Here is a 9,979-nt window from a genome sequence, read left to right as displayed (position 1 = left end):
ATCTCGATCTCCTGACCTCGTGATCCACCCGCCTCGGCCTCCCAAAGTGCTGGGATTACAGGCGTGAGCTACCGCGCCCGGCCAATCCAATCTTTAAGGTAAAGATTTTGTGTATGTGTGAGATAAAAGCACATGATAGACTTATGCAAAGTGTCCTGTTAGGGCACAAGCCTAGGAAGCTGGGGGCTTTGCTAACTCTGTTACAATTAAAGAAGCAGAAGTTAGAAACAAGTCATTAACAGCTCTGGGGGTGGGGTTGGGGAGGGGAAATGGGTCACGTGGTCCACCCAGTGGGCGTGGTCACCAATGTCTGCAGGCTGTCTTTAACCCTGCAGCCATTTTCCACTTGGTCATTCTTTATTGTTGGATTCTCCCCTCCCAGCTAACCCCCCCGCCCCAAAACCAGTCTCCTCTGATGCCTATTAGAACAGTAGCATCCCGCCTTATTCTCTCCCTTCTCCTGTCATTGATCTTGACTTACCTGCAGCAGGAATGAGGAAATCCTGGACTCTCCTCCCAAGTGCTCTGCCCCTCGGCTCCCTTTTTGCCTACCTTGCCCATTGCCATTTGGAAAGCCAAGGGATAAAGGCAAAGTTAGATGCAACAGGTAGATGTTTTCCTTAGTCTAGGTAAAAATGTTCTTTAGGGTAATTAACCCAAAAAGTCAAGAAAGAAAGATTTTATCTTATTGAAACGTGCAAAGTCTCACTTTTGCAAACCCCAGAGAGAAAAAGAATTGGAGAGCACCGCCCGGGAGGCAGCGGCTGGAGGAGCGGACGGGCCCCGCGGGGCCCGAGGGCAAGGAGCAGCCGCCTGCCTTGGCCTCCCAAAGTGCCGAGATTGCAGCCTCTGCCCGGCTGCCACCCCGTCTGGGAAGTGAAGAGTGTCTCTGCCTGGCCGCCCATCGTCTGGGATGTGAGGAGCCCCTCTGCCTGGCTGCCCAGTCTGGAAAGTGAGGAGCGTCTCCGCCCGGCCGCCATCCCATCTAGGAAGTGAGGAGCGCCTCTTCCCAGCCGCCATCACATCTAGGAAGTGAGGAGCGTCTCTGCCCGGCCGCCCATCGTCTGAGATGTGGGGAGCGCCTCTGCCCCGCCGCCCCATCTGGGATGTGAGGAGCGCCTCTGCCCGGCCGAGACCCCGTCTGGGAGGTGAGGAGCGTCTCTGCCCGGCCGCCCCGTCTGAGAAGTGAGGAGACCCTCTGCCTGGCAACCACCCCGTCTGAGAAGTGAGGAGCCCCTCCGCCCGGCAGCTGCCCCGTCTGAGAAGTGAGGAGCCTCTCCGCCCGGCAGCCACCCCATCTGGGAAGTGAGGAGCGTCTCCGCCCGGCAGCCACCCCGTCGGGGAGGGAGGTGGGGGGGGTCAGCCCCCCGCCCGGCCAGCCGCCCCATCCGGGAGGGAGGTGGGGGGTAAGCCCCCCCGCCCGGCCAGCCGTGCCATCCGGGAGGGAGGTGGGGGGGTCAGCCCCCCGCCTGGCCAGCCGTGCCATCCGGGAGGGAGGTGGGGGGGTCAGCCCCCCGCCCGGCCAGCCGCCCCGTTCGGGAGGTGAGGGGCGCCTCTGCCCGGCCGCCCCTACTGGGAAGTGAGGAGCCCCTCAGCCCGGCCAGCCACCCCGTCCGGGAGGGAGATGGGGGGGTCAGCCCCCCCACCCGGCCAGCCACCCCGTCCGGTAGGGAGGTAGGGGGGTCAGCCCCCCGCCTGGCCAGCCGCCCCGTCCGGGAGGGAGGTGGGGTGTCAGCCCTCCGCCCGGCCAGACGCCCCGTCTGGGAGGTGAGGGGCTCCTCTGCCCAGCCGCCCCTACTGGGAAGTGAGGAGCCCCTCTGCCCGGCCAGCCGCCCCGTCCGGGAGGGAGGTGGGGGGGTCAGCCCTCCGCCCGGCCAGCCGCCCCGTCTGGGAGGTGAGGGGCACCTCTGCCCGGCCGCCCCTACTGGGAAGTGAGGAGCCCCTCTGCCCGGCCAGCCGCCCCGTCCGGGAGGGAGGTGGGGGGGTCGGCCCCCCGCCCGGTCAGCCGCCCCGTCCGGGAGGGAGGTGGGGGGGGGGTCGGCCCCCCTGCCCGGCCAGCCGCCCCGTCCGGGAGGTGAGGGGCGCCTCTGCCCGGCCGCCCCTACTGGGAAGTGAGGAGCCCCTCTGCCCGGCCACCACCCCTTCTGGGAGGTGTGCCCAACAGCTCATTGAGAATGGGCCAGGATGACAATGGTGGCTTTGTGGAATAGAAAGGCGGGAAAGGTGGGGAAAAGATTGAGAAATCGGATGGTTGCCGTGTCTGTGTAGAAAGAAGTAGACATGGGAGACTTTTCATTTTGTTCTGCACTAAGAAAAATTCCTCTGCCTTGGGATCCTGTTGATCTGTGACCTTACCCCCAACCCTGTGCTCTCTGAAACATGTGCTGTGTCCACTCAGGGTTAAATGGATTAAGGGCGGTGCAAGATGTGCTTTGTTAAACAGATGCTTGAAGGCAGCATGCTCGTTAAGAGTCATCACCAATCCCTAATCTCAAGTAATCAGGGACACAAACACTGCGGAAGGCCGCAGGGTCCTCTGCCTAGGAAAACCAGAGACCTTTGTTCACTTGTTTATCTGCTGACCTTCCCTCCACTATTGTCCCATGACCCTGCCAAATCCCCCTCTGTGAGAAACACCCAAGAATTATCAATAAAAAAATAAATTAAAAAAAAAAAAAAAAAAAAAAGAATTGGAGAGAACAGTGGCGCTCTACCTTAGCTCTCTACCTTGACTGTAGAATTATCAATGGTGCTTTGAAAAAAAAAAAAAATTTACTATTCCTGGGCCCCATTCCAGACTAGTCAAATTAGAATTTCTGAGTGAGGCCCAGGCATGCGATTTTTACATTGTTTTCCAGGTGATTCTAATGGGTAGCCACAGTTGCAGACCACTGGGGTAGCAATTTTATGGTCATTTGCTATTGTCTTTACGAACAAAGTCAGGCAGTAAGTGCATTTCAGGGCATAAAATGGCTCAGGGCTAAAATGTTTTCTATTGTAAGATCAGCTACGTAGAACGGAAACCCAGCTGGCAACCAGAGCATTAAGTTAGCCCATGTATAAAATAATTTCTTTTGAAGTTTTTGGCACTAACAAGTCCTGAGATGGTATTTTCTGATGATAATGGGCTTAATGACCTGAGTATATCTATAAGGCAGAGAAATATCCTGATCGACTTCTCCCTTTTCAAGTTTATCAACTTGAAAAGGATATTAATTTTTTTTTCCATTTAACAATATGACTTACAAGTGGAACATTATGAGAAAGTGTGAGATCCATATTATTTCAGGGACATGACCCTGCACACCTCTTCCCACTCATGGAGGAGCTGAAACCACTATTCTCAGGAGAAAAAGCACAGAATTTGTATGGTATTCCAGAAATTTTGATCTCTGCAGCCAACTAGATCACATTAAGGACCCAAGGGGGAGACATATTTGTAGTCAATGTCTGCACATACGCAATTTCTCTCTACATAATTTTGCTCTTAAGGATGATAGAATGAGGTCCACTTTAATTAAATGTATAAGGAACAGTAATCCACTTTGAAAGGCACCGCTAATCCACTTACTGGTCACCAAGTTATGCAGATACTAACGAGACTTTCAAGAAGAAAACAGGTATAAGAAGAAATGAGACTTTCAAGAAGAAAACAGGCAATTTACAGGAAATATGCTTGGAACAGGCACTCTATTGTATATATTCCTCACGGTCAATGGCTACCAAGCAACACCAAAGTTAGTTCATTATACCCTGCCTCACTTATGGCTGTGTCTTCTTTAGGGGGTTATTTACATAATATAAGCAGAATCTGGTAAGTAAAGTAAGAAATTGTGGATCTGTTTACAATTTGGTTCCCATGCTCAATTGTACATTAGTTTGGTCTCCTTTTAATAAACTTCTGTGTATGTACTCCAAACTCCAAGTTATTTCTGTACATACTCTTACAGCTTTGCATTCAGTCCTGCTAGGAAACTTCAACAATAAATTATATGCTATTGAATTTATTGTTGTTATTATAAATAGTTTTATGATACTGTTTTTTATTTATTGTTTCCTTAAATAGACACTGGAACTGCTACAGCAAATTAGTCAGAATATAACCATTGTTCAGAAAATGCTTGAATATTTTCAGCAGAAGCAAAGGAAAGTATATCATCAATTTGACTGGAAAAATAGCTGAGCTGTCTGAGAAATATTCCATGGGGAAGATCATTAAATATCTCAGCTCCATCCCTGCCCAACTACGGAATCTCCTCTGAGAATCTTGCAATGCTCCATTAAAAACCAAAAACAAACAAACAAAAACTCCTCATGTGATTCTGACAGACTTAATCGTCTATATCTGACAATTAGCCACGTGCTCATTTAGGGCTGAAGTGGGGAGAGTAAACTTGCATTGATTGTATGACTACTACATTCACTCTCTTATTTATTACTCGTAATGATTTTATAAGATAGGAATTACTCTATTCATTTTATACTTCAGAAAACTGTCCCAGAGTCACACAACTAAGACAACTATCAAATTGAAGATTTGAACTGTGGAGCTGCCTTGAAGCTGATTCTAAGCAATAGTGACATGAATACACACATACATATATATCATATGTATACTGAAGGCACTGGAGAACAGGCAGAAACTGCAGTCCACTCTGCCCCTGCTCCTAGCCATGGTCAATCCCCTTGTATAATGCAACACATCCCCATTGTTGGAGAACCCACACTGTATCTCTTTCAAGCTGTTTCAGTCCAGGTTCCAAAGGATAGCAGAAAATGTCAGTGCTTTTTGCAATGGAAGAAAAGGGTTTGGTTATGAGATTTTTTTTTTTTTTTTTTTTTTTGAGATAGCGTCTCACTCTTGTCACCAGGGTGGAGTGTAGTGGCGCAGTCTTGGCTCACTGCAACCTCCACCTCCTGGGTTCAAGCGATTCTCCTGCCTCAGCCTCCCCAGTAGCTGGGACTACAGGCATGCGCCAACAAGCCCAACTAACTTTTGTATTTTTAGTAGAGACAAGGTTTCACCATGTTGGCCAGGCTGGTCTCAATCTCTTGACCTCGTGATTCACCCGCCTCAGCCTCCCAAAGTGCTGAGATTACAGGTGTAGGCCACTGCGCCTAGCCAGTTATAAGATTTATGCTTTCACAGAATTATTGTACAGTTTATATGCCAGGGTGGGGAATTCACCTGCCATCATGGCTCTGGTGGCAAGTTCATCCATGGGAAGAAATTTCCTGATGAGAACTTCATGCTGAATCATATGAGTTTTGGGATCTTATTCATGACAAATGATGGGCCCAACACAAATGGTTCCTGGTTTTTAGTCCACACTATTCATACTGATTGGCTGGACCATAGGCTGGATGGCAAGCCTATGGTCATTGGTATGAATAATGTGGAATCTATGGAATGTTTTTGCTCTAGGATTGGCAAGACAGCAGGAAGATTACCACTGCTGCACCAGTAACTCTCATAATTTGATTTTATGTTATTTTTATCACCAAACAATGTCTTCTTCAGCTAAGGAGAGCAGCCCCACTCCCAGTCTGTTCTCATATCCCATAATCTTTGAGGTCTCATTTGCTATAGTTCTTCAGGCTTCATACCTGCCTTACCTCCTTCCAAGTCTAGCCAGACTTCACATTTAATTTCATGATTATTAAATAAAAGCTAAACAAGAGGCCGGGCATGGCGGCTCACGCCTGTAATCCCAGCACTTTGGGAGGCTGAGGCGGGTGGATCACGAGGTCAGGAGATCGAGACCATCCTGGCTAACATGGTGAAATCCCATCTCTACTAAAAATACAAAAAAATTAGCCGGGTGTGGCAGCATGCGCCTGTAGTCCCAGCTGCTGGGGAGGCTCAGGCAGGAGAATTGCGTGAACCCAGGAGGTGGAGCTTGCAGTGAGCAGAGATCGCACCACTGCACTCCAGCCTGGGAGACAGAGCGAGACTCCATTTCAAAAAATAAATAAATAAATAAATAAATAAATAAATAAATAAAGCTAAACAAGAAACAATATGCTTAGGGGGAAGAGTTATCCTTCTCAACCCCAAGGAGCACCAGGAGCCACCAGGATCCCACCAGGATCATCACAACCAGGTGACCACAGGGCATGAGAGGGATGACTCATCCCCTCTAACACAATCAAAAGAGCAGCAGCACAAACCACAACAGCAGCGTGGCCAAAAGCGTCCTGATCATTGTCATGACAGGCTAACTTCCACTTGCACCTCGAGGAGATTAAAGTTCTGCTACCAATGGCTATGCCCTTAGGGTCTCAGTTCCCCAACTTGCTTTCTCTCTTTCCAGAATGTCTTTTCCAGGAAATACACCCAGCCAGGTGGAGGGTAAACTTCCCACATGTGACAGCATGTATGTTCTCAGGGGCCACACTCTCTGTAGATGAGTAGAGTACAGAACCATGGTCTGGCTACTTAAGTACCTTGACACACTTGAGGTATCCATAAGATTTTTCGTATGTAGCTCACTTTATGTGTTATGAAAATTCAAATGGAAACATAAAAACTACCTTCAAATATTTGAAAAAGTAGTGGCAGATGGGACAGGCTTTTTCTGCCTCACCTTAGGGACACAGACAAGAATAAATGGTAGAAAAATTTTGGTGAGGCAAATTTCAGCTTCATTTAAAGAAAAACCTGCTAATTTTCAGAGCTCGAGTTGCTGTGAGCTACCCAATCTCTGGACCTGCAGTAAAGTGAACATCAAGCAGATTGTCAAGAGAAGGTCCTACAGTGGAATGATGTTTGGAGAAGAAAACTTCCAAGATGCCGTAATTGACTAATTTACCTCCTGTTCCTCTACAACTTATAGGAGAATCACAACCAGGTGAGCCATAAGTGTCTTAATTAAAAACATGGCTGATTTCTTATGGGCTATTTTTCAGCCACAGTCCTCAATGTTCAATCTCATTGTCAAAACACAATTAAAATATCCTCAGTCAAGCCTATTCAGGCTTCATCACAGAGGCGTCATTTCTTCTCATGGATTTGCTTTATTATTTTTTGTTTTTCCTTATGTTTCTCTGTGATTCTTGGAGACAAGTTTTTTATTCCAACAGAATAGGTCTTATGAGAAAAGCATGCATGGTGACTTATTCCATTTTTGATTGTTAATCAAGCTCAGAAGGGAAATTAATTATGCCAGAGTTTATGGTCAAGGTATTTTGTGCTGCAATTAATTTCCCATCTCTTTTATTTCCTCTGTGGAATATTAAGAGCACATGATTATTGGAGAACTCTATTTGGGGTGAATCAGGCTCTCTTAGGCCTCTTTAATATTTCCCAACCCTTGTACTTAACTTCAAATGTCATGCCTAAACATATGTTTAGGCTTTACCCTGAGGCTTTGCTTGAAGGATAAGCTCACAGAGAAAGTAACAGGCAGCTGCTTATCTGTTGAGATTGTCCATGTTGACAGAAGAGCATGGGGGTTGCTGAGTAGTGATTTGATTTTACTCCCATTGGATGTAAGTGGCAATTAGCCCCTTACAAAAAGAATAAAGAAGTAATTAATGATTGTAAACATAAAATGCTTCTCATGCAAACCTTTCCTTTATTGTCGTGATTTTAAAATTTAGCCTTTGCAGAGTTCCTATTTCAAAGACTGCTATACTGCTAACTACCTGTGTGATCTTAGGCAAGTCACATAAACTGCTTGAATTTCGTCGATAAAGTAAGATGTGAATATATGTTTTTGTTCCCCAAATATCTTACTTCTAAACATCATATAATTCAAATTCTCAACATGTGTCTAGGGTCACAATATTTTATTTTTCTCTTTGCTTTTGTCTTCGTGTGGAATATTTAGATGATGAGCTTAGGATTTAAAACTGAAGACATCTTTATTTCTGTTCTGTTAAATTTTACACTTGTTCATAATGTAATACTTAACTTTCTATTTCCAGTTCTCTGTTGAATTTAGACCAACTGTGTGACTTGTGGGCTAATACAATGTGAGCAAAATAACATTTGTAGCTTCCGGGATTAAGAGTGAATGATGATTCCTCATTTTCCCTCTCCCTCCTCCTGCTGTAACTAGCCTGGGTCTCTGCGTAAACGACATTGAGTAAACTCCTTCATCTGCCACCAATGAACATGAATCTTAAATTTGCTACTCAAACCATTGAGATCTGGGGACTGTTTGTCACTGCAGCATAACCTAGCCTATTCTGACTTGTATAAGTTTCTTCATCCATTTCAAGTAGATTATTGACAATAGCATTTCAGAGAACTTACAAATTGTCACTTACATCAGAATTGACAGATAAACCATGCCTCTGACACTCTTATCACATGGAGAACCCCCAAATTGGAGCTCAGCTCAGGAGGCCACGTGGGTTTTTGGCTTCAGGCAAGAAGGAATTCAAGAGTGAGCCAACAAAGTAAAGTGAAAGCAATTTTTTTTAAGAAAGTAAAGGAATAGGCTGGGCGTGGTGGCTCATGCCAGTAATCCCAGCACTTTGGGAGGCTGAGGCAGGCGGATCACAAGGTCAGGAGTTCGAGACCAGCCTGGCCAATATGGTGAAACCTCGTCTCTAGTAAAAATACAAAAATTAGCCCAGCATGGTGGTGTGCACCTGTAGTCCCAGCTACTTGGGAGGCTGAGGCAGCAGAATCACTTGAACCTGGGAGGTAAAAGTTGCAGTGAGCCGAGATCACGCCACTGCACTCTAGCCTGGGCGACAGAGTAAGACTCCATCTCAAAAAAAAAAAAAAGAAATTAAAGGAATAAAAGGGTGACTACTCTATAGGCAAAGCAGCCCTGAGGGCTGCTGGTTGGCTATTTTTATGGTTATTTCTTGATCATATGCTAAACAAGGGGTGGATTATTCATGAGTTTTCTGGGAAAAGGATGGAGAATTCCTGGAAGGGAGGATTTCTCCCTTTTTTAGACCATATAGGATAACTTCTGGAAGTTGCTATGGCGTTTGTACACTGTCATGGCACTGGTGGGAAATTCCGTTAGTATGCTAATGTATTATAATTAGCATATGAGCAGTGAGGACCACCAGAGGTCACTTTCATTGCCATCTTGGTTTTGGTGGGTTTTGGCCGGCTTCTTTACTACAAGCTGTTTTATCAGTGGGGTCTTTGTGACCTTTATCTTGTGAAATAAGTCCTGCCAAATTCCTAACTCACTTTCATACCACCTACCTAGGAAATTTAGCAAGTATGGTCGTTTAGTTTACTCATCACTCAGCAAAAACTTGCAAGTGATCCAAATTAAACAAACTGTTGGCCCTACCTCATCTAATTTCTCATCTTCATGTAAAATATCTAGTAAACAACAAATTTTGGTCAGTAGTGAATTATAAAGGACCACCTACATTCTTAAAATAGAAGACATTATTTGTACACACATTTGTTACAAAGAAACCACTGTGCAGGTTGCAGATATTTTTGTTCTTTCTGATGTTCTGTTGTTACATTTGACTTTTGAATGGAATAACATTTGCTATAATGAATTGAATCATTTCGAGGGTAAGAGATCTGGCCCTAATACAAATTTACCAAATGACATAAATTCTTTAAATTTGCTATTTAAGATAATTCCCTTGAAAACAAAACTCAGAAAAGCACACAATAGAAGAAAGTGGAGAGTCTTTCAAGTGTGCTAATGGTTGCCTTATTGTTCATATTCTACTGAGATCCTTTCCTCTTCTTGCTCTACATGCCCTCCCTGTGTGGTCTCCCCCTCCCTCAAGTTTCTAATAAAGAGACTCAGCAAAGAGAGAATAAAGGATTTTCTGAGATGGTCTTGGAAGTGTACAAAAAAAGAGGATGTGTGGGGAACTGAGCAGCAGAGCCAGTTATAGAGTGTTTGCCTTGGATGTTCTAAGCCTTCCCAGTGGATTCAGGAGGGAAAGTGTTGAAAGAGGGAAGACTTGAGGAGCAGAGGGAGAGAGCCAAGTTTTGGGGTACAAAAGCAGATCTGAAGGCCAAAGGGGAAATCAA

The 9,979-nt window shown here is 45.8% G+C and overlaps 1 long non-coding RNA gene and 1 pseudogene across 1 annotated transcript in view, besides 1 other annotated feature; both read left to right on the top strand.

The window, feature by feature from the left end:
* Nucleotides 957-1,834: an enhancer, noted in NCBI's record as "H3K27ac hESC enhancer chr20:16208020-16208897 (GRCh37/hg19 assembly coordinates)". NCBI's record gives its function as "activates a minimal SCP1, AML or CMV promoter by ChIP-STARR-seq in naive H9 embryonic stem cells {active_cell/tissue: H9 hESC(naive)}" and the evidence as "EXISTENCE:reporter gene assay evidence [ECO:0000049][PMID:30033119]".
* PPIAP17 (peptidylprolyl isomerase A pseudogene 17) lies at nucleotides 4,674-5,459 on the top strand (annotated as a pseudogene).
* LOC124904874 (uncharacterized) overlaps nucleotides 6,676-9,979 on the top strand; it is a 44,620-nt gene continuing 41,316 nt past the window's right edge. The window contains exon 1 of the long non-coding RNA XR_007067537.1: nucleotides 6,676-6,851. This is a non-coding gene — a long non-coding RNA (uncharacterized LOC124904874). The remainder of the gene's footprint in view (nucleotides 6,852-9,979) is intronic.

This window comes from Homo sapiens, chromosome 20, assembly GCF_000001405.40.
Source record: "Homo sapiens chromosome 20, GRCh38.p14 Primary Assembly".
NCBI lineage: Eukaryota > Metazoa > Chordata > Mammalia > Primates > Hominidae > Homo > Homo sapiens.
The sequence above is the reverse complement of the archived record's forward strand: the minus strand, read 5'-3'. Positions and strand labels throughout refer to the sequence as shown.